The sequence below is a fragment of the Homo sapiens genome, chromosome 12 (genome assembly GCF_000001405.40).
Source record: "Homo sapiens chromosome 12, GRCh38.p14 Primary Assembly".
Classification (NCBI taxonomy): domain Eukaryota; kingdom Metazoa; phylum Chordata; class Mammalia; order Primates; family Hominidae; genus Homo; species Homo sapiens.
This window is the reverse complement of record NC_000012.12, coordinates 7967099-7990953: the sequence shown is the minus strand read 5'-3', so window position 1 is coordinate 7990953 and position 23855 is coordinate 7967099. Positions and strand designations below refer to the sequence as shown.

At 45.5% G+C, this 23855-nt stretch overlaps 4 annotated features.

Moving 5' to 3' along the window:
* Nucleotides 7899-9098: an enhancer, noted in NCBI's record as "BRD4-independent group 4 enhancer chr12:8134452-8135651 (GRCh37/hg19 assembly coordinates)". NCBI's record gives its function as "activates an origin of replication core promoter dependent on BRD2, P300/CBP, MED14 and CDK7 cofactors, and independent of BRD4, by STARR-seq in HCT116 cells {active_cell/tissue: HCT116}" and the evidence as "EXISTENCE:reporter gene assay evidence [ECO:0000049][PMID:35650434]".
* Nucleotides 19464-20177: an enhancer, noted in NCBI's record as "NANOG-H3K27ac-H3K4me1 hESC enhancer chr12:8123373-8124086 (GRCh37/hg19 assembly coordinates)". NCBI's record gives its function as "activates a minimal SCP1, AML or CMV promoter by ChIP-STARR-seq in naive H9 embryonic stem cells {active_cell/tissue: H9 hESC(naive)}" and the evidence as "EXISTENCE:reporter gene assay evidence [ECO:0000049][PMID:30033119]".
* Nucleotides 21603-22315: an enhancer, noted in NCBI's record as "H3K27ac-H3K4me1 hESC enhancer chr12:8121235-8121947 (GRCh37/hg19 assembly coordinates)". NCBI's record gives its function as "activates a minimal SCP1, AML or CMV promoter by ChIP-STARR-seq in primed H9 embryonic stem cells {active_cell/tissue: H9 hESC(primed)}" and the evidence as "EXISTENCE:reporter gene assay evidence [ECO:0000049][PMID:30033119]".
* Nucleotides 22316-23028: an enhancer, noted in NCBI's record as "H3K27ac-H3K4me1 hESC enhancer chr12:8120522-8121234 (GRCh37/hg19 assembly coordinates)". NCBI's record gives its function as "activates a minimal SCP1, AML or CMV promoter by ChIP-STARR-seq in primed H9 embryonic stem cells {active_cell/tissue: H9 hESC(primed)}" and the evidence as "EXISTENCE:reporter gene assay evidence [ECO:0000049][PMID:30033119]".

The window sequence follows — 23855 nt, the reverse complement described above, 5'->3', positions numbered from 1 at the left end:
CTTTGTATAACAGCCTCCTTACTAGTTTCTACAGTGTAGTCAGTAATCTCTTTAAAATCCAAATTCAATCATGTTACTACTGCACGTAACCTACCAGCTCTCTGGGGTACTCAGAAGAAAGTCCAGGCTGGGTGCGGTGGCTCAGGCCTGTAATCACAACACTTTGGGAGGCCAAGGCGTCGGATCACCTGAGGTCAGGAGTTCGAGACCAGCCTGGCCAATATGGTGAAACCCCGTCTCTACTAAAAATACAAAAATTAGCTGGGCATGATGGCAGGCGCCTGTAATCCCAGCTGCTTGGGAGGCTGAGGCAGGAGAATCGCTTGAACCTGGGAGGCAGAGGTTGCAGTGAGCTGAGATTGTGCCACTGCATTCCAGACAGAGCAAGACTCTGTCTTAAAAAAAAAAAAAAAATTCCAAACTCCTTGACCTGTCGTACCTGGCATGCTTGGATATTTGTGATATTATCCCTGCTCTCCTTCTGGCCTCTTCTCACCCCTTGGCACTCCCCACTGCAGTCATGCTGAAATCACAAACACACCATACTTCAAGCCCATGCTCACACTGTACCCTCAACCTATCACACTACTTAATCTTATCTCTCTCCATCTTACTTTGTTAGAGTGACTACTACTTAAAGAGGAAGACTGCCTAGACACTTTCACACCCCTACTACCTCTTGCCTGAGTTATGTGTCTGTCCCCACGTCCCCGCTTCAAGACCAGAAGTTGTGCACCGCCTGACCCTGGGCGGCACCAGTTCCATAAACCCCAATGTGCACGCAGTCAGATGCAATCTGCACAGTCATATGCAGTGTCCCCACAGGAAGTTATGAGTCTTATAAGTTTCCTATGCTTCCTCTCTAATGAACGGTAAACACTCAGGAAAGCATGGTTATTTCTCAGAGTTGGAAAGAACAAGAGCAGAGGAACATTTAAGCTGGACCTTGAAGGGTGTGTCAACAGACAGAAAGGGTAAATAACATATTTCAAGCAGAGAAAATTACAAGAAAAAGAATGCAGAGGTAGTCTGGTGTGACCAGATTAGATAGGAGTAAGTAAATGGAAATTAAGATAAATTGTGTAAAGCCCTGAGTGCTACAATAATGAATATGAATTTTATTCTATTGGCAGAAAGCCATTGAAGAGTTTTGAGCACTACAATGATATAATCCAGTCTGTGTTTAAATGTATTTTCCACTGAGTGTTATTTTTTGCTATAAAACAAAGCATGCTTATTTTTAAATTTTTATTATTTCAAAGAAAAATCAGATAAGTGAAAGGTTACTATAATACTACTCATTAGAGTTAACCACTATTAATAGTTTGGTATAATGCTCCATTTTTTTTTCCTGTGCAGCACATGTGCATGTGTGTATGTGTTTCTGTCTTTTGTTCATTTGTTTGTTTGTTTTGAGACAGTTTCGCTCCTATTGCCCAGGCTGGAGTGCAATGGAGTGATCTTGGCTCACCGCAACCTCTGCCTCCTGGGTTCAAGCGATTCTCCTGCCTCATCCTCCGGAGTAGCTGGGATTACAGGCATGCGCCACGATGCCCAGCTAATTTTTTATATTTTTAGTAGAGTCAGGGTTTCTCCATGTTAGGCTAATCTCCAACTCTTGACCTCAGGTGATCCACCTGCCTCGGCCTCCCAAAGTGTTGTGATTACAGGCATGAGCCACTGCACCCGGTGTATGTGTTTCTGTATAATTCATTTATTTATAAGAATTAAGGGAAGAGGTGTGGTAGCTCACACCTGTAATCTCAGCACTTTGGGAGGCCAAGGTGGGCAGATCCCCTGATGTCAGGAGTTTGAGAGCAGCCTGACCAACATGGCAAAACCCCATCTCAACAAAATATACAAAAATTAGCCGGGCATGGTGGTGTGCATCTGTAGTCCCAGCTACTTGAGAGGCTGAGGCACTAAAATTGCTGGAACTGGGAGGTGGAGGTTGCAGTGAGCTGAGATCCTGCCATTGCACTCCAGCCTGCATGATAGAGCAAGACTCTGTCTCAGGAAAAAAAAAAGAATTGAGGCCAGGCACAGTGGCTCATGCCTATAATCCCAGCACTTTGGAAGGCAGGGGCGGGTGAATCACTTGATCTCAAGAGTTCGGGACCAGTCTGGGCAATAAAGTGAAACCCTGTCTCTATAAAAATTACACACTTCAAGACCAGCCATGATGGTGAGCATCTGTAGTCCTAGCTACTGGGGAGGCTGAGATGGGGGAATCACTTGAGCTCCAGAAGTTGAGGCTGCAGTGAGCTGAGATCGTGCAACTGCACTCCAGCCTGGGTAACAGCAAGACCCTGTCTCAAAAAAAAAAAAGAATTGGCCGGGCGTGGTGGCTCACGCCTGTAATCCCAGCACTTTGGGAGGCCGAGGGTGGTGAATCACAAGGTCAGGAGATCGAGACCATCCTGGCTAACACGGCGAAACCCCATCTCTACTAAAAAAATTAGCTGGGCGTGGTGGCGGGCGCCTGTAGTCCCAGCCACTCGGGAGGCTGAGGCAGGAGAATGGTGTGAACCCGGGAGGTGGAGCTTGCAGTGAGCCGAGATCGCGTGACTGCACTCCAGCCTCAGCGACAAAGCGAGACTCCGTCTCAAAGAAAAAAAAAAATTAGATCATTCTAAACATACTTTTTGCCACTGCCTTTTTTGAAGTAATGGTGGGTATCTTGTATGAGGAAGCAAACCACGCAAATCTTATCAACTACAGTAAAAACATGAATGTGTGTGAATATACTTTGCTAACCATCAGCACAGAAATGATATTCTGTTTCACCTATGAGCTTGCACAATTAAAAAGAGATGGATATCAGTTTTGGCGGGGCTCTAACAAAAAGGTACTCTTTATATAATTATAATAGCAGGAATAAAAATTAGTTATTCAAGAGAGGGCAATTTAGCAATTCTTTTTGAAATTTAAAATACATGTAACTTTGAACTAGCAATTCCATATCTACAAGTTTTTTCTACAAAATACCCTCAGAAATTCACAAAGAAATGGAGGCTGGGCACACTGGCTCACACCTATAATTACAGTGTTTTGGGAGGCTGACACAGGAGGATCACTTGAGCCTGAAAGTTTGAGACTAGCCTGGGCAACATAGTGAGACCCTGCCTCTACTAAAAAATAAACATTATCTAAGCATGGTGACGCACACGTGTAATCCCAGCTACTCAGGAGGCTAAGGCAGGAGAATCACTTGAACCTGGGAGGTGGAGGTTGCAGTGAGCCGAGATTGCACCACTGTACTCCATCCTGGGTTACAGAGTGAGACTCCATCTCTTAATTAATTAATAAATAAATAAACAAAAAGGAATTCACAAGGATAAATTGACAAGTATGTTTATTGCAGCAATATTTGTAATAGCAAAGCAACCTAAAAGGACAGTAAATTATGGGGTTCCCAGACACATTACATACCATTGTGAAGCATATCTGAATGTATTGATGTAAGTAATTTCCATGATATATTGTTGGGTGAGAAAAATATCAAAATGCTGACATGATACATGTGTTATATGATGCCATTTTTGTAAAATTATACATGTACTCAAGTAGAATGTGTCTATATTCATTTACAATGTGTGTACATAATATGTGTGCTAATATATACACATACTCAAAAGGTTTTTTTGGTTTTGCTTTTTTTTTTTTTTTTTTTTGAGAGGGAGTCTCGCTCTGCCGCCCAGGCTGGAGTGCAGTGGTGCGATCTTGGCTCACTGCAAGCTCCGCCTCCCGGGTTCACGCCATTCTCCTGCCTTAGCCTCCTGCGTAGCTGGGACCACAGGCCCCCACCACCACGCCCAGCTAATTTTTTGTATTTTTAGTAGAGACGGGGTTTCACCGTGTTAGGCAGGATGGTCTTGATCTCCTGACCTTGTGATCCACCCGCCTCGGCCTCCCAAAGTGCTGGAATTACAGGCATGAGCCACCACACCCGCCCTTTGCTTTTGTTTTGATTTGAGATAGGATCTTTCTCTGTTGCCTAGGGTGGAGTACAGTGGTGCAATCATGGCTTACTGCAACCTCAAACTCAAAAGCTCAAGCAATCCTCCCTAGTAGCCTCCCTAGTAGATCTGGTTCCACCACGCCCAAGATGAGATTTTGCTTTGTTGCCCAGGCTGTTCTTGAACTCCTGGCCTCAGGTGACCCTCCTGCCTCAGCCTCCCAAAGTTCTGGGATTACAGGTGTGAGCCACTGTGCACAGCCCGTTCTCAAAATAGCCACAATAAAACATGACATTGTTTTTTCGTTTGTTTGTTTTTTGAGACAGAGTTTTGCTCTTGTTGCCCAGGCTGGAGTACAATGGCTCCATCTCGACTCACTGCAACCTCCGCCTGCTGGATTCAAGCGATTCTCCTTCCTCAGCTTCCCAAGTAGCTGGGATTACAGGCACGCGCCACCACGCCCAGCTAATTTTGTATTATTAGTAGAGATAGGGTTTCACCATGTTGGTCAGGCTGGTCTGGAACTCCTGACCTCAGGTGATCTGCCTGCCTCGGCCTCCCAAAGTGCTGGGATTACAGGCATGAGCCACCACACCTGGCTTGATGTTTTCAAATCAATATATATTGTGATATTTCATTCTTTTTAATGGCTACAGAGTATTTTATTGTATGACAACACCATTGATTTATTCTACACTATTTTTTTTTTTTTTTTGAGACGAAGTCTTGCTCTGTTGACCAAGCTGGAGTGCAGTGACGCAATCTCAGCTCACTGCAACCTCTGCCTCCTGGGTTCAAACAATTCTCCTGCCTTAGCCTCCTTTGCCTCCCAAGTAACTGGGATTACAGATGCCCACCACCAACGCCCAGCTAATTTTTTTTTTTTTTAATAGAGACGGGCTTTCACCATGTTGGCCAGGCTGGTCTCAAATTCCTGACCTCAGGTGATACACCCGCGTCGGCCTCCCAAAGTGCTAGGATTACAGGCATGAGCCACCACACCTGGCCAAGATAACAGTTTTTGTTGATGGACTGGATATGGAAGGAGTGGGAAAGAGAAAAATCCTAAATAACTCCTAGCTTTTGGAATTGAGTGAATAGTGATAACATTTACTGAGATGTAAAAGACTAGAGAAGGAAAAGATTTGAGAGTGTGAAAAATAAACAGGACTTCTCCTTTGGCTATGATTAATTTGAGATGCTTTTTGACCACCCAGGTACAAATAAGACAGGCTATATATATATATGACTCTGATCACTTCTCAGCCTTTTGGCCAAGATCAAGTGATATATGACTCTGGAAGTCAGGGGGAAAGCCATCAGTGAAAAACTTAACTAACTTACAAGGCAGCCCATTATATTTTCGATAGCTCTAGTTATCAGAAAGTTCTTGCCATTACACTAAGGTGACTATAAATGTTATATAAATTTGATGTCCATTTCCATTCGGGGTTCCTGAAAAGTACATATTTTTCTAAGCACATCGAATATTGGAAGAGAGTTATCACATTTTCTCCCAGCATCTTTTATTTTATTTATTTATTTTTTTAGAGACGGAGTTTCACACTTTTTGCCTAGGCTGGAGTACAGTGGTGCGATCTTGGTTTACCACAACCTCTGCCTCTCGGGTTCAAGTGATTCTCCTGCCTCAGCCTCCCGAGTAGCTGGGATTACAGGCATGCACCACCACACTCGGCTAATTTTGTATTTTTAGTAGAGATGGGTTTCTCCATGCTGGTCAGGCTGGTCTCAAACTCCCAACCTCAGGTGATCTGCCCGCCTCAGCCTCCCAAAGTGCTGAGATTACAGGCGTGAGCCACCGCACCCAGGCTACATCTTATATTTTCTAATCTAAACAAACAATCTTAGTTTCTCCAGCTGTCCTTCAGGACCTGTTTCCAGACATGTCATCATCCTGGCTGGTCATATGCCTTTTCAGGTAGGATGCCAAGGACTAACATGACCCAAATAATACACAAAATGTAGGAGTATCATCCCTCGGATTTGCCATTCCTTCAGAAATATGGTTGACTTTTATAATTTGTGTTTTCTTTTTTTTTATTTTATTTTTTGGAGACACACCACCTTGCCCGGCTAATTTTTGTATTTTTAACAGAGACAGGATTTCACCATGTTGGCCAGGCTGGTCTCAAACTTCTGACCTCCAGTGCTCCGCCGACCTTGGCCTCCCGAAGTGCTGGGATTACAGGCATGAGCAACCTTGCCCGGCGCTATTTTCTTTCTTATTTTCATGATTGTGTCAGAGTTCCTACCTGTGGCATACAATGTCTCTTCTTCTCTTTTTTTTTTTTTTTTAATGGAGTTTTGCTCTTGTTGCCCAGGCTGGAGTGCAATGGCACAATCCTGGCTCACTGCAACCTCTGCCTCCTGGGTTCAAGCGATTCTCCTGTCTCAACCTCCCAAGTCTCTGGGATTACAGGCATATGCCACCATGCCCAGCTAATTTTTGTATTTTTAGTAGAGACAGGGTTTCACCGTGTTGGCCAGGCTGGTCTTGAACTCCTGACCTCAGGTGATCCACCTGCCTCGGCCTCCCAATGTGCTGGAATTATGGGCGTTAGCCACCACGCCACGCCTGGCCACAATGTCTCTTCTTACTTTCTTCTTATCCGTTGTTGGATTTGGAAATTAAATAACCAATTTAAGCTATCAGATATTAACATTTTGCTTTGTATGTTTGGGAGATTTTGTAATAATTTAAAAGGAGAGGCGGGGCGCAGTGGCTTACGACTGTAATCCTAGCACTTTGGGAGGCCGAGGCAGGGAGATCACCTGAGATCAGGAGTTGGAGAATAGACTGGCCAACATGGTGAAACCCTGTCTCTACTAAAAATACAAAAATTAGCTGGGCGTGGTGGCAACCACCTGTAATCCCAGCTTCTAGGGAGGCTGAGGCAGGAGAATCGCTTGAACCCCAGAGGCAGCGGATGCAGTAAGCCAAGATTGTGCCATTGTACTCCAGCCTGGGAGACAAGAGCTCCTTGTCAAAAAACACTCCGTCTCAAAAAAAAAAGGAGAGAGAAAGTGCTTCCTGAGAGGAACCAAAGCCTTCCTATGAGTTATGCTTTGAATTCTAGCGAGAAATCCTGTTTTCTTTCCTTGTTTCCTCCTGCGTATATTCAAAATAAATGAGTTTCCCAAACAGTTGAGTGTCAGATAGGTGAGGTATTTCAGCCTTTTGCACAGGATCTCATTGGAGATTTTCTGAGATGTCTTGCTGAAATCAAGGTGCGTGGTGTCTGTCTAAGGCAGTGGTTCTCAAACAGTGGTGATTTGCTCCCAGTGGACATTTGGCAATACCTGGAGATATTTTTGTTGTCATGATTACAGGAAAGGGATTACAAGCTTCTAGTGGGGAGGGGCCAGGGATTCTGCTAACCATTCTGTAATGCATGGGACAAGCCTCTGTAACAAAGAATTGTCTGGCTCCAAATGTCAGTAATATCCATATTTAGGACTATGGTATTTCTCTGATTTTATTAACTTTATGGGAAAAAGTTAGAAAAGTTTTAAACTTAATGAAATAATTCTGCTTCCAACTAATCACTGCTCTCTCTCTCTTTTTTTTTTTTTTTTTTTGAGACAGAGTTTTGCTCTTGTTACCCAGGCCGGAGTGCAATGGCACCATCTCGGCTCACCGCAACCTCTGCCTCCCAGGTTCAAGCAAGCCTCCCAAATAGCTGGGATTACAGGCATGTGCCACCACGCCCAGGTAATTTCGTATTTTTAGTAGAGATGGGGTTTCTCCATATTGGTCAGGCTGGTCTTGAACTCCGTTCCTCAGGTGATCCGCCCGCCTCGGCCTCCCAAATTGCTGGGATTAGAGGTGTGAGCCACCGTGCCCGGCCTATCACTGCTCTCTTCTTGCATACAAATCATCTGTTAATAATCTTTCTAGACTTTAGTAGGAAAATAATGAAGCACTGTTTCTTTTCCACTTTTTTAAAATGGAAAAGTTTACATTTTTCTGTCATCATTCTCAATCTCCATAATTTTTTCAATATTAACAGTGCCCGATGATTAAATTTGGACACAATGTTCATATACTGTTATTTAAAGAAAAATTATATTCTTACCATATCCCATTGCCTTTTTGGCCTTTTGTTTCTCTTCCCCATGTTTATTCATTTGTTACAGTTGTAAGGTTTTTCTTGAGGAGGTAAGTAATCCCACTTTTCTTCTGTCATCTCTAAAAACTAAGTAAATACAATACAATTTAAACTAGAAGCTCTGTTCTTATCTTTTAGGACCCCTAGTGAGACATGTAGCTATTTTGGAATGAGGCTATACTAATCATGTTGACTAGCTACTTATTAGTGAGAGAGAAGGGGGCAGAAGTCACTGTCCTGTCACCAGGTAGATAAGAATGTGGGAGACAAAGAATGATGCTGTCTCTGCACGTCCTCCACGTGGGGACATTGGAATCTTTTCCTGGGGCTGTGGCATTTCTTTTGTATTGACTGCAGCTGTCAGGATCAAAGAAGAACTAATGAGACAGAAGTAAATAGCTTCATTCTCAGGCTACCTGAGAGGAGCAATGTCTGATGGAGATTAAAAGATGAAAGGGGAGAAAAATTCTTTCTCAGCCACACCCAGATACAACTAAGTCACTCTTTTCACATGCTTCTGATTCTTCAAATTCTATGTTACCACTTAGAATCTAGTGGCAAAAAAAAACCTTTTCCTAATGCTTTTTTCCTTATTACGTTTTTATTATTTTTAAGATAGAGAACAGTGATGTTTCCTGATCTCAATGCTTTTATATTTAGAGCTAGAGGTTTATTCAGTCAGCCAGTCATTTATTCAATTATATATTGACTATGTCTATATGTTCCAGACCCAAACATGAACCAAGGAAAGGCTCCAAAAACTTGGAAGTTTTAAGTATATATTTGAAAGAGGACTGATAAGTGAATATCTGATTAGTAGTTAAAATGTTATATAATTTGGCCAGACATGGTGGCTCATGCCTGTAATCCCAGCACTTTGGGAAGCCGAGGTGGGTGGATCACCTGAGGTCAGGAGTTCAAGACCAGCATGGCCAACATGGTGAAACCCCATCTCTACTAAAAATACAAAAAGGTAGCTGGGCCTGGTGGTGGGTGCCTGTAATCCCAGCTACTCCAGAGGCTGAAGCAGGAGAATCCCTTGAATCCGGGAGACGGAGGTTGCAGTGAGCCAATATTGTGCCATTGCACTCTAACCTGGGCAACAGGAACATAACTCCATCTCAAAAAAAAAAAAGAACAGTTACATAATTTTTCACCTTTCTTCTCGGGTAATGACTACTTCACATGCATGGATCAGGAAGTATTTGTTTGGGCAGTACCTTTGTAGAACTCTTGAGATTGCACAGAATAAAATAGCTAGCATTCTTCTTCTTCAGCCATAAGTCCACCTTCTGGAATTAGAGAACTGAGACACAGGTTTAATGACTTAAGTTTTTGCGAAGTCTGTAGCACAGTCTGTACCATAGTCTTTGCTGATACCCAGGTTTTCTAACTTCCAACCTTGTCTTTGTTCTAAAAACAGAGGTGAGAGAAGACTGCTTGCAGAAAACGCTTTCCGCCGTTGTACCAAATGCATTTCTATCAAGAAAGCCTCTGAAGCAATCAAGTTGGGATTCAGGGTTGGGGTCGAGGAAAGCAATAGAAAGACGAGATTTAAAAAAGCACAGAATGCTTGGTGCGGTGGCTCATACCTGTATCCCAGCACTTGGGAGGCTGAGGTGGATGATCACCTGATGTCAGGAGTTCGAGATCAGCCTGACCAACATGGTGAAACCCCGTTTCTACCAAAAATACAAAAACTAAGGCCGGGAGTGGTGGATCACGCCTGTAATCCCAGCACTTTGGGAGGCCAAGGCAGGCTGATAACGAGGTCAGGAGTTCGAGATCAGCCATGGCCAACATGGTGAAACCCCATCTCTACTAATAATACAAAAATTAGCTGTGCATGGTGGCGGGTGCCTGTAATCCCAGCTACTCAGGAGACTGAGGCAGGAGAATCACTTGAACCCAGGAGGCGGAAGTTGCAGTGAACTGAGATCGCATCACTGCACTCCAGCCTGGGCGACAGAGTGAGACTCTGTCTCAAAATAAATAAATAAATAAAATAATAATACAAAATAAATAATAAATAATTTAGTTCATCCCTCACCTGAGGGCTTACACTTGAGCTAGCACCAGTGGTATTCGAAGACTGCTGCAGCATCCCCGAACTTGCTTTTCCAGCGTTATCTTTTACTAGACTTCTGTAAGTGCCTTACTCCTCAGCTAAACTGGACTAAGCACCATTCCCCAGCCTTCCCACAAACTGCCCACCACCAGACATGTGCCCAGGCCATTCCACTTTACTGAAATGCTCTTTTTTTTTTTTTTTTTCCCCTGAGATGGAGTTTCAGCTCTTGTTGTCCAGGCTGGAGTGCAATGGCGTGATCTCAGCTCACTGCAACCTCCGCCTCCCGGGTTCAAGCAATTCTCCTGCCTCAGCCTCCCCAGTTGCTGGGATTACAGGTGTGTGCCTCCACGTCCGGCTAATTTTTGTATTTTTAGTAGAGACATGTTTCCCCATGTTGGCCATGCTGGTCTCGAACCCCTGACCTCAGGTCATCTGCCTGCCTTGGCATCCCAAAGTGCTGGGATTAAAGGCGTGAGCCACCACGCCCACCCGAAATGCTCTTTTCTGATTTTTTTTTTTTTTTTTTTTGAGACAGAGTCTCACTCTGTCGCCCCGGCTGGAATGCACTGGCGCCATCTAAGCTCACTGCAAGCTCCACCTCCCGTGTTCACCCCATTCTCCTGCCTCAGTCTCCCGAGTAGCTGGGACTACAGGCGCCCACCACAACGCCCCGCTACCAGGCCATTCCACTTTACTGAAATGCTCTTTTTTTTTTTTTTTTCCCCTGAGATGGAGTTTCAGCTCTTGTTGTCCAGGCTGGAGTGCAATGGCGTGATCTCAGCTCACTGCAACCTCCGCCTCCCGGGTTCAAGCAATTCTCCTGCCTCAGCCTCCCCAGTTGCTGGGATTACAGGTGTGTGCCTCCACGTCCGGCTAATTTTTGTATTTTTAGTAGAGACATGTTTCCCCATGTTGGCCATGCTGGTCTCGAACCCCTGACCTCAGGTCATCTGCCTGCCTTGGCATCCCAAAGTGCTGGGATTAAAGGCGTGAGCCACCACGCCCACCCGAAATGCTCTTTTCTGATTTTTTTTTTTTTTTTTTTTGAGACAGAGTCTCACTCTGTCGCCCCGGCTGGAATGCACTGGCGCCATCTCGGCTCACTGCAAGCTCCACCTCCCGTGTTCACCCCATTCTCCTGCCTCAGTCTCCCGAGTAGCTGGGACTACAGGCGCCCACCACAACGCCCCGCTAATTTATTTTGTATTTTTAGTAGAGATGGGGTTTCACCCTGTTAGCCAGCATGGTCTCGATCTCCTGACCTCATGATCCACCCACTTCAGCCTCCCAAAGTGCTGGGATTACAGGCGTGAGCCACTGTGCCCAACCCTCTAATCTTCATCTCTTATCTCTGAGTCTACCCATGTTTCAAGATCTATTCCAAATACCCGCTTCAAGAAGCCTTTCTGGGTGTTTCCACATGAATAAAATCTCATGATTCTTGGCTTTTTTTTTTTTTTTTTTTTTAGCATTTTCTTATCTTGTCCCTTCCAGCACCAGATTATAACTTGAGGGTAGGGACTTTGAGTTTCCTGCCTAGTACAGCACAGCGTTGTGCATTTTGAAGGCTTTCTCAATATAGATGCATATACATTTTAATTTTTTTCAACATCACCTTTAAAAAAAATCTCATTCAAATCTTTCTGGATTTAGAAAGCTGTTATTTCAGCCGGGCATAGTGGCTCACCCCTGTGATCCCAGCACTTTGGGAGGCTGAGGCGGGTGGATCACGAGATCAGGAGATCCAGAGCATCCTGGCTAACACAGTGAAACCCCATCTCTACTAAAAATACAAAAACTAGTCAGGCATGGTGGCGGGCACCTGTAGTCCCAGCTACTCGGGAGGCTGAGGCAGGAGAATCACTTGAACCCGGGAGGTGGAGGTTGCAGTGAGCCGAGATTGCATCACTGCACTCCAGCCTGGGTGAGAACAGCAAAAACTCCATCTCAAAAAAATAAAAAGAAGGAAAAAGAAAGCTCTTATTTCTTGATTGATTTATGTGTATGTATGTAACAGTCTTGCTCTCTTGCCCAGGCTGGAGTGTAGTGGCATGATCACGGCTCACTGCAACCTCGACCTCCAGGGCTTGACTGATCCTCCCATGTCAGCCTTCCAAGTGGCCCCATGCCTGGTTAATTATTTGTATTACTTGTAGAGATGAAGTTTTGCCATGTTGCCCAGGCTGGTCTTGAACTTCTGGACTCAAGCAATCCTCCCACCTTGGTTTCCCAAAGTGCTGCGATTACAGACATGAGCCACCACGCCTGGGCTCTGGATGTTTTTATCAAGATGTTGTCTTGTCCAAAGATTGAGAGGCCCAGGTAAGAACTCGGTTAAAGAATGGAATTGGAAGAAGCAAAAATTTTGGCTAGGAGGGGTGGGGACAAGGACGACTAGGTAATAGAGACTGGAAAAAGGAACGGGATAGACATAAGGAGCATTAAGTTGGTAGCTACCTGGGGCAAATGGAAAAAGAAAAAGAACAAGAAAGGGAGTTGTAAAAAAAAAAAAGACAAAAATACAAATATTGAAGAACAGTCAAGATATAAGAGTTGTGTCTAGGCCAGGCACGGTGGCTCACGCCTGTAATCCCAGCACTTTGGGAGGCCGAGGCAGGAGGATCACGAGGTCAGGAGATCGAGACCATCCTGGCTAACACGATGAAGCCTTGTCTCTATTAAAAATACAAAAAATTAGCTGGGCGTGGTGGTGGGCACCTGTGGTCCCAGCTGCTTGGGAGGCTGATTAAGGAGAATGGCATGAACCTGGGAGGCAGAGCTTGCAGTGAGCCGAGATCGGGCCACTGCACTCCAACCTGGGTGACAGAGCGAGACACTGTCTTAAAAAAAAAAAAAAGAGTTGTGTCTAAGGGACATATTCTTGGCTTTTGGTTGTCCTAGGGAGGTTCCTTTCTGTGCACGTCAGAAGATGACAGGCAAGAAAACAAAGTGGAAAACAATAAGGAAGTGAAGGTAACCCCTTTATAACCTCCCACTGCTTCATTCCTTGGAAATAGAAATGACTCAGGGAGGCAGATGAGGATAAATAAACGCTGCCTTGAAACAGTCTCTATGCTTAGCTAGATTCTGTCTGCAGCTGCTTTCTGCAGAATCCTGCAAATTGGGTTTGTCATCTGACCGTGTCTCTCTCCTCCTGTGTCTCTACATCTATTTCAGGTCCCTGGGTTTGCTCGTGTCTGTTGCCTTGGTTCCTCTGCTGTGTTCCTCTAACTGTGGGCAATGCCTCCATCCATTTCTAGAAGTAAATGTGTTGATGGCATTTTATCACCTGTGTAGTTCCTCTTTTGACTGTCTCAATTCTCTTTTTTTTTTTTTTGAGACGGAGTCTCGCTCTAACGCCCAGGCTGGAGTGCAGTGGCACGATCTCGGCTGTGCATGGTGGCAAGCTCTGCCTCCTGGGTTCATGCCATTCTCCTGCCTCAGCCTCCCAAGTAGCTGGGACTACAGGTGCCCACCACCACGCCTGGCTAATGTTTTGTATTTTTTTTTTTTAGTAGAGACGGGGTTTCACTGTGTTAGCCAGGATGGTCTTGATCTCCTGACCTCGTGATCCACCCGCCTTGGCCTCCCAAAGTGCTGGGATTACAGGCATGAGCCACCGCGCCTGGCCTTGACCGTCTCAATTCTCACCTATGTCTGTGCCTATTGTTTTTACCTTCGTCTTTTATTTTTCTTTCTGCACCCTTTTGTTTCTGCTTCTGTCACTGCTTCTCTCTACCAGCTGGCTTTCTATGACGATGCCATTCCCATAGCAACCTCTCTCTGGGGAAGAATGAGGGGAAGGAAAAGAGAGAGCTAGAATAGATGGGCTAAGAGAAGCCAGATTGGAGTTGGAAGGTGACCTTTTGGATTGAGTCCTAGAACAGAGTACAGAGAAACTATGAAGACTGATACCAGCCAAGTTACACTAAACCCTAAGAAAACACAAATTGGGAGCCCAAATCCAGTCCCTGCTGGCAAAACTCATTCAGCAAATCCTTTCTGTTGTAAATTAACCTGTCATCTATTTTCCCCTTCTCTGTGATTCAGATTATTCTTTCTTTCTGTTTTTAGATCTCATGATTCTTTTTTTTTTTTTTTTTTTTTTTGAGACAGAGTTTTGCTCTTGTTGCCCAGGCTGGAGTGCAATGGTGTGATCTCGGCTCACCGCAACCTCCGCCTCCCAGGTTCAAGCAATTCTCCTGCCTCAGCCTCCCAAGTAGCTGGGATTACAAGCATGCACCACCTTGCCTGGCTTATTTTGTATTTTTAGTAGAGACAGGGTTTCTCCATGTGGGTCAGGCTGGTCTCGAACTCCTCACCTCAGGTCATCCACCTGCCTCGGCCTCCCAAAGTGCTGGGATTACAGGCGTGAGCCACTGCGCCCAGCCAGATCTCATGATTCTTAAACATGTATAGTTCTTTTTTTCTTTTTAAAGCTGGTCAAGTGAAGCAGTGTGAGTGGAAAAGTAATGAAGAAATTCATAACTGGTTGTGATCAGTTAGTTGTAAATGCCACTGTACTCAGACCAGCCACACGTATATTTTCTTTTAAAACTTATGAATATTCACATTGTAACCACAAGGTCTTTTGATGTACTATAGTTTTTTCACTAAGATTAGTTCTGGACACCATACTTCGAGTGGTACATGAAATACACTTGGAATGGCCTTAGGAAAAGACAATAAAGAAAAAAACCAACTTGAAATGATATTATGCACTCTCATTAAGGATCACAATGTTAGATAAGCGATTTCATAAGGATGATTCTTTTCTTTTTTCCTTTTTTTTTTTTTTTTTTACCAACAATGGGATTTGTTCCATGTAGGGAAAGGTTACTGAGTGAGTTGAAGCAATGGAAAAAAAATTTTTTTTTGAGACGGAATCTTGCGCTGTCACCCAGGCTGGAGTGCAGTGGCTAGATCTTGGTTACTGCAACCTCTGCCCCCTGGGTTCATGCAGTTGTCCTGCCTACCCCCCCGAGTACCTGGAATTACAGGCACACACCACCACGCTTGGCTAATTTTTGTATTTCTTTTGTAGAGATGAGATTTCACCATATTGGCCAGGCTGGTCTGGAACTGCTGACCTCAGGTGATCCACCCACCTTGGCCTCCCAAAGTGCTGGGATTACAGGCGCGAGCCACTGTGCCCAGCCAGCAATGGAAAAATTCTGCTCAGAAATCTGTTTTTTTTTTTTTTTTTGAGACAGAGTCTTGCTCCGTCACTTAGGCTGGAGCGCAATGGGGCAATTTTGGTTCACTGCAACCTCCACATCCCGGGTTCAAGCGATTCTCCTGCCTCAGCCTCCTGAGTAGCTGGGATCACAGGTGCGCGCTACCACGCCCAGCTAATTTTTGTATTTTTAGTAGAGATAGGGTTTCACCATGTTGGCCAAGCTGGTCTTGAACTTCTGACCTCCTGATCCGCCCGCCTCGGCTTCCCAAAGTGCTGGGATTACAGGCATGAGCCACCGCGCCTGGTGAGTTTGCATTTCTAACAGGATCCTAGGAGATGCTGATGCTGCTGGTCCATGGACCACAATTTCAGTAGCACTAGTCTAGATGATCTCCAAGTCAAGCAATACAGTTGATAAACATAGTGCATAAATGTGTGGATATTTTATTGTTCATTGATTAAAAATAACTTTCCTGCTGGGCATGGTGGCTCATGCCTGTAATCCCACCCACTTTGAGAGGCCACGGCGGGCGGATCATGAGGTCAGGAGTTCGAGACCTGCCTGGCCAACATGGTGAAACCCCGTCTCTACTAAAAATACAAAAAATTAGCTGGGAGTGTTGGCGTGCGCCTGCAATCCCAGCTACTCGGGAGGCTGAGGCAGGAGAATCGCTTGAACCCAGGAGGCAGAGGTTGCGATGAGCGGAGATCACATTGTAGCACTCCAGCCTGGGTGACAGAGCAAGACTCTGTCTGAAAAAAAAAAAAAAAAGTTTCCTTTGGGAATGGAGGAGCATGAATGAGCTAAATCAAGTTGGTTTTGTTTTTCTCTGCCATTTGCAAGTTGTGATATCTATCTGACCCCTTTCTTTGTTTTGTAAAATGACCAACCTTCCAGGTTTGCCCAGAGCCTTTCAGTGCTAAAACTGAGATAGTCCTGGGCAAAGGGGATGACTGGGTGACCTCTTCACTCACGAGGCCAGTGAAATCAAAGGAATATGTAAGCATAAATGAACTTGGCTAGGAATTAGGAAATGCAGTTTCTAATCCTAATTCACAACTTATTAATATTATGACCTTGGCCGGGCACGGTGGCTCACGCCTGTAATCCCAGCACTTTGGGAGGCTGACGCAGGCGGATCACGAGGTCAGGAGATCGAGACCATACTGACTAATACATTAAAACCCCGTCTCTACTAAAAATACAAAAAATTAGCCGGGCGTGGTGGCGGGCACCTATAGTCCCAGCTACTCAGGAGGCTGAGGCAGGAGAATGGCATGAACCCAGGAGGCGGAGCTTGCAGCGAGCCAAGATCGTGTCACTGCACTCCAGCCTGGATGACAGAGCGAGACTCCGTCTCAAAAAAAAAAAAACGAGATATTATGACCTTAAATTGGCCATTTAAATTATCTTTCAGCTTTTATACCTGTAAAATGGCGATAACATTATCTACTTTACTTCACACTAAAGTTTGAAGATCAACTTAAATAATGTATTTAAAAGATTTTTATTAAAATACCATACGCATATTAAGACAAAGATGTAGCCCACTTGTTTCTGTTTAGAATTTACTATTTACTGCCAAAAAATAACAACCCAGGCCGGGTGCGGTGGCTCACGCCTGTAATCCCAGCGCTTTGGGAGGCCAAGGTGTGTGGATCATCTGAGGTCGGGAGTTCAGCACCAGCCTGGCCAACATCATGAAACCCTGTCTCTACTAAAAATTCAAAAACATTAGCCGGGCATGGTGGTAGATGCCTGTAATCCCAGCTACTTAGGAGGCTGAGGCACGAGAATCGCTTGATCCCAGGAGGTGAAGGTTGCAGTGAGCCGAGATGGCCACCACTGCACTCCAGCCTGGGTGACAGAGCAGGACTCCGTCTCAAAAAAAAAAAAAAAGCAACCCAGCAATCTCATTCCTAATTATACACCCAAGAGAAAAGAATTCATACATTGAGCAAATGACAGGAATGTTTATAATAGCTCAAAACTGGAAACAATAACGCGTACATCAGTGGGAGAATAGATAAATAAATGTTGGCATAGCCAAAGGTGGAATACTACTCAGCAGTAAGAAGGAATGAACTACCAACACCACCACATAGTACTCATAGACACTATGCTCAGTGAAAAAAACATCTGAGCACAAAAGAGTACATACTGTATGGTTCCATTTAAAGGTCACGAACAACAAAATTCATTGATGATGACAGAAGTGAAAATTGTGATTTCTAGCTGGGAGTGGTGGCTTATACCTGTAATCCCAGCTGCTCGGGAGGCTGAGGCAGGAGAATGGCTTCAACCCGGGAGGCGGAGGTTGCAGTGAGCTGAGATCACACCAGTGCACTCCGGCCTGGGTGGACAGAGCAAGACTCCATCTCGAAAAATAAAAAAAAAAAATCTTGGTTTCTTCTGGCAAGGGCGGCTGTAGACTTGAACCGGCACAAGGAGCCTTTTTGAGGAGCAAGAAATGTTAAAGAATCTAGATTTTGCCAGGCTCGGTGGCTCATGTCTGTAATCCCAGCACTTTGGAGGCCAAGGAGCGGGGGGCGGGGGGGTGGATCACCTGAGGTTAGGAGTTCCAGACCAGCCTGACTAACATGGAGAAACCCCATCTCTGCTAAAAAATACAAAATTAGCCGGGCATGGTGGCGCGTGCCTGTAATCCCAGCTACGCAGGAGGCTGAGGCAGGACAATCACTTTAACTCGGGAGTTGGAGGTTATGGTGAGCCAATGGCGCCATGCACTCCAGCCTGGGCGACAGTGCAAGACTCCCATCTCAAAAAAAAAAAAAAAAATTAGCTGGGCATGGTGGTGCAAAAAAAAAATCTAGATCTTGATCCGGTTAATGTTTATGCCTGTGAATACAGATATAAATATTCACCCAACTGTAAACTCCAGATTAGTGCATTTTTATCTGCTTTATTGCATGTGCCCTTCAGTAAAGTAGAAAAAAATAAAAGACAAAAATAAAGGAAGGAAGAACTCACCCTCAATTCTATCACCACTAGAAAACAATGTTTTTTTTTTCTTGAAATGTTTGCATTCTAACCGCCCCAGCACTAAGAAGAGGTTCAGTTTTGTAATTGGAACGTCTGATGAGCATCTGATGAGTGGATCTAGAGGTTATCCCCTCATGTCGAGTTGATGATGATATTTCAGCTTCTAGACTTGAGCAAGATGACAGCAAAGGGAAGCGGAAACCCTGGGTCACTGGTTCAGGAAGACGGCCAGGTTTACATCAACGTTGCAACAAATCTGGTGGCTTTTTTTTTCGTTTCGTGTTGCTGTTTCTTTTCTTCCTCTTCATCTTTGGGTCCGTTTGCTACTTTTCTTGGATTGATTTTCCACTCTACCCCACTACACAACGTACTCTTTGGGGAGGAGGGGGGTCTTTACATTTTCTTCCACTCTCCGACTTTCCCATATTTTCTCATGTGTCTCAGTGAATTCAATGGTATGTGCTAACATTTTCTTTTATGAGTCTATTCCAGGGGCTCACATCCTGTCCCCTGCCCGAGGAGCCTTCCAGTAGCCTTTACAGCCGCATTCTCAGGCTTTCATCCACTCTTTTTGAAACAGCGCCTGTGACATTCCCACTCATTACAGCGTGCCCCTCCCATGCCTCCAGGAAATTCTCTGTTTTCCCACCGGTTTTCTACTCAGCAGCTATTCTCAGTCTAATGCGCTTCATTCACCGTCAGCCTTCCTCAGGAAGACATAAAAAAAGGGTGAAAAAGAACATTTATTTCTCAGGAAGGATTGGTCAGCTGACTAAGTTGTCTGAGGGTCTAAAAAGATGAGGGGGTAACTCAAAGCATAAATGCTTGAGGAGATGGATACCCCATTCTCCATGAGGTGATTATTTTACATTGCATGCTTGCATTAAAACATCATGGACCCCATAAATATATACACCTACTACATACTCACAAAAAAATTTTTTTAATTGTTTTTAAAGGGGAAGGGGAAGGATTAGCAGAAATACTATAGGTGAAGGGGAAACAAAAGTATGTGTCTTATTGTATGCGCCTTCCCTTTTACATTGAGTTGCTCTAGTTTCCCGGTTGTTTCTGTTTCCGTAGTGTTTGGTTCATACGTGGTACTTACGTAAATATTTCACCAACATATGAAAAAGTGAATGCGTGAGGGAGAAAACCTGTAAGTCGTGATTGAAAAATGACAGGCTAACTGCCCAAGATTCAGGATGCTGAGCTTTCTAAGATGATGAAAATTTCTGTGCGGATTGGGGTAGTGGCAACACTGGTGTGTGTGTGTGTGTGTGAGAGAGAGAGAGAGAGAGAAAAGTCGTCCACCTGCACACCTAAAAGGTTTGAATTGTATTGTGTACATTTTATACATAAAATTGACTTTAAAAAAGACTCAGCGTGCTGCTCGGGCATAATGAAGGGAGAGAGTTTGTAAACATAGGAGGCTGTGTGGAAGCGTGAAATGTGAAACGTGGAGTGTACGTGGGAAAGAAGAGCAATAAAAGGACCTGCAGCTAAAGAGGCAACGTGGTCGGGTGAGAGGAGGGGATGGGGATGGAAACTCACACAGCTGAGTGGGGCTAAAAGGGACGTTTGAGGATTACTGGCCTAGCACAAAACATCTGCCCTTAAGGCGAAACCCTCTTAAAACCTTTGGCGGCTTTCCAGAGAAGACGCCGATTCCTGAAAATTGCAAGGCTCTCCGGCGGGCTGGGAGTGGGAGGCGCTCCCGGTGTCCCCCAGCATGTGGGAGTCGGCGGGACCTGAGCCCCGCCTTCCTGCAGCGGCCGGGACGTGCCGTGTGGCACGCTACCCGCCGCGCGCGCATCCTGTCCCCCGCCCTCGGAATCCCAGCACGGGGGCCGAGCCCCGAGCTACATTCCTCCTCCTCCTTCTTCGCCACCCAAAGACTCACGCATACACACATTTTTCTTTCGTATCTGCTGTCTCAGCCTCCCTCGGGCCAATTTGGGTAAATGCGTCCAAGAGGAAGAAATAAAAATGAAAAGACTGACAGTTTAAAAGCATGTGGAGGGCTTAGAAGATAAAGACGAGTGCAAGAAAGGGAGAGCGCGGCCGGCCGCGGTGTCTCACGCCTGTCATCCTAGCACTTTGGGAGGCCGAAGAGATCGGATCACTTGAGGTCCGGAGTTCAAATCCAGCCTGGCCAACATGGTGAAACCCCGTCTCTACTAAAAATACAAAAAAATTAGCCGGACCTGGTGGCGGGCGTCTGTAATGCCAGCTACTCGGGAGGCTGAGGCGGGAGAATCGCTTGAACCCGGGAGGCGGAGGTTGCAGTGAGCCGAGATCGCGCCACTGCATTCCAGCCTGGGCAACAGACTGAGACCCTGCCTCAAAAGAAAAAAAGAAAAAAAAAAAAGGAGAGCGCGTACTGTTGCGGAAGGGGCACTGCTCGAGAAACAGAGACGAAGGGATGATTTTCAAGTAATCAAGACACCGAGAAAGACAAGATTGGGGATGGAAGAGCAGTAAGAATTAATGGAGACGTCCAAGAATTGTAGTTCGGGCGCGGTGGCTCATGCCTGTAATCCCAGCACTTTGGGAGGCTGAGGTTAGTGGATCACCTGAGGTCAGGAGTTCGAGACCAGCCTGTCCAAATGGCGAAACCCCATCTCTACTAAAAAATACAAAAATTAGCCGAGCATGGTGGCGCACGCCTGTAATCCCAGCTACTGGGGAAGCTGAGTCAGGAGAATAGCTTGAACCTGGGAGGTGGGAGGTGGAGGTTGCAGTTAACCGAGCCACTGCATTTCAGGTTAGGTGACAGAGTGAGGCTATGTCTCCAAAAAAAAAAAAAAAAAAAAAAAAAAGAAGAAGAAGAAAAGCAAATGGGTAGTTTGTTTTGCATGCTTCTTGCCAGGCAGAAAAGGTGCTTGAGAGGAGAAAGAAGTGGAAAACTGGAAAGGGGGGGAATCTAAATCAAGGACTTTATTTTCCTTACTGTTGAGTTGTAAATACAGTCCTCCTTTGACATTTATCTTCCCCTTTTTCTATGGTTTAAAAACAGGTGATTTGGCTGGGCATGGTGGCTCACACCTGTAATCCCAGCAGTTTGGGAGGCCAAGGCAGGCGGATCACTTGAGATTACGAGTTCAAAGACCAGCTTGGTCAACATGGTGAAACCCTGTCTCTACTAAAAATACAAAAATTAGCTGGGTGTGGTGGCAGGCACCTGTAGTCCCAGCTACTCGGGAGTCTAAGGCAGGAGAATCGCTTAAACCCAGGAGGTGGAGGTTGCAGTGAGCCGAGATCGCACCATTGCACTCCAGCCTGGGAGACAGAGTGAGACTCCGTCTCAAAAGCAAAACAAAACAAACAAAAAACAACGTGATTTATATATCATGGCGTTGTATTTATGTATTATGTAGTTTTTTTTCTTTTGACACAGGGTCTCACCCTGTTGCCCAGACTGGAGTGTAGCAGAGCGATCACGGCTTCACTGCAGCCTCAGACTCCTGGGTTGAAACAACCCTCCCACCTTCCTGAATACCAGCTATTGTCCCAGCTTCCTGAATACCTGGGACAATAGTTGGGACTATGGGCACAACTGTCTTGGGACTAAATTTGTATTTTATTTTATTTTATTTTTATTTTTTAGAGACGGAGTTTCGCTCTTATTGCCCAGGCTGGAGTGCAGTGGCGCGATCTAGGTTTACTGCAACCTACGCCTCCCGGGTTCAATCGATTATCCTGCCTCAGACTCCGGAGTCGCTGGGATTGCAGGCATGCACAACCACTCCTGGCTAATTTTTTTTTTTTTTTTTTTTTTTTTTGAGACGGAATCTTGCTCTGTTGCCCAGGCTGGAGTGCAGTGGCACCATCTCGGCTCACTGCAGCCTCCGCCTCCCGGGTTCAACCGATTCTCCTGCCTCACCCTCCCAAGCAGCTGGGACTACAGGCGCGTGCCAGCACGCCCAGATAATTTTTTTTTGTATTTTTAGTGGAGACGGGGTTTCACCATATTGGCCAGGCTGGTCTCAAACTTCTGACCTCGTAATCCACCCGCCTCAGCCTCCCAAAGTGCTGGGATTACAAGCGTGAGCCACGGTGCCTGGCGGCTAATTTTGTGTTTTTAGTAGAGATGGGGTTTCTCCATGTTGGTCAGGCTGTTTTGGAATTCCCGACCTCAGGTGATCGGCCCGCCTTGGCCTCCGAAAGTGCTGAGATTACAGGCGTGAGCCACCGCGGCCAGCCTGTATTTTATTTTTTGTAGAATCAGTGTTGCGCTAGGTTGCTCAGGCTGGCCTCTAACATCTAGGCTCAAGGGATCCTTCCTGCCTCTGCCTTCAGAGTAGCTAGAATTACAGACACACATCACCATGCCCAGCTTTGTTTGCTTGTTTTGAGATAGGATTGGCTGGTTTTGAACTCATGGACTCAAGCTATCCTCCTGCCTCAGCCTTCCAAAGCGGTAGGATTACAGGTGTGGACCACCGCTCCCAGCCTGTATTTTATTTTTTATGCACTTGGTAGTGCCCCTTCATGACACTTAACATAAACTTTCAGCCAGGAACAGTGGTTCCCACCTGTAATCTTTGCCCAGGTGGGAGGATTGCTTGAGCCTACAAGTTTGAGACTAGCTTGGGCAATATAGTGAGACGCCAATCTCTATCTTTAAAAAACTAAAACATTAGTCCGGGCGCAGTGGCTCACGCCTATAATTTCAGTACTTTGGAGGCCGAGGCGGGTGGATCACCTGTGAGGTCAGGAGTTTGAGACCAGCCTGGCCAACAAGATGAAACCCCGTCTCTACTAAAAATACAAAAATTAGCCAGGCGTGGTGGTGGGCATCTGTAATCCCAGCTACTCGGGAGGCTGAGGCAGGAGAATCACTGGAATCCAGGAGGTGGAAGTTGCTGTGAGCCGAGATCGCACCATTGCACTCTAGCCTGGGTGACAGAGCAAGACTCTGTCTCAAAAAAAAAATTTTTTTTCTAATAAATTTTAAAAAAACAAAACATTAAATAGGCTGGGCCTGGTGGCTCAAGCCTCTAATCTCAGCACTTTGGGAGGCTGAGATGGAAGGATCACTTGAGCTCAAGAACTCGAGTCCAGCCTGGACGATGTATCAAGACCTCATCTCTACAAATAATGTTAAAAATTATTAGTGCAGCATAAGTGGCATAGGCTTGTGGTCCCAGCTACTTGTGAGGCTGATATGGTTTGGCTCCGTTTCCCCACACAAACATCATCCCAAATTGTAACCCCCACCTGTTAAGGGAGGGTCCTGGTGGGAAGTGATTGGATCATTTGGACAGTTTCCTCCATGCTGTTCTAGTGATAATGAGTGAGTTCTAACAAGATCTGATGGTTCGGCTGGGCGCGGTGGCTCAAGCCTGTAATCCCAGCACTTTGGGAGGCCGAGGCGGGTGGATCATGAGGCCAGGAGATCGAGACCATCCTGGCTAACACGGTGAAACCCCGTCTCTACTAAAAATACAAAAAATTAGCCGGGCGTGATGGCGGGCACCTGTGGTCCCAGCTACTCGGGAGGCTGAGG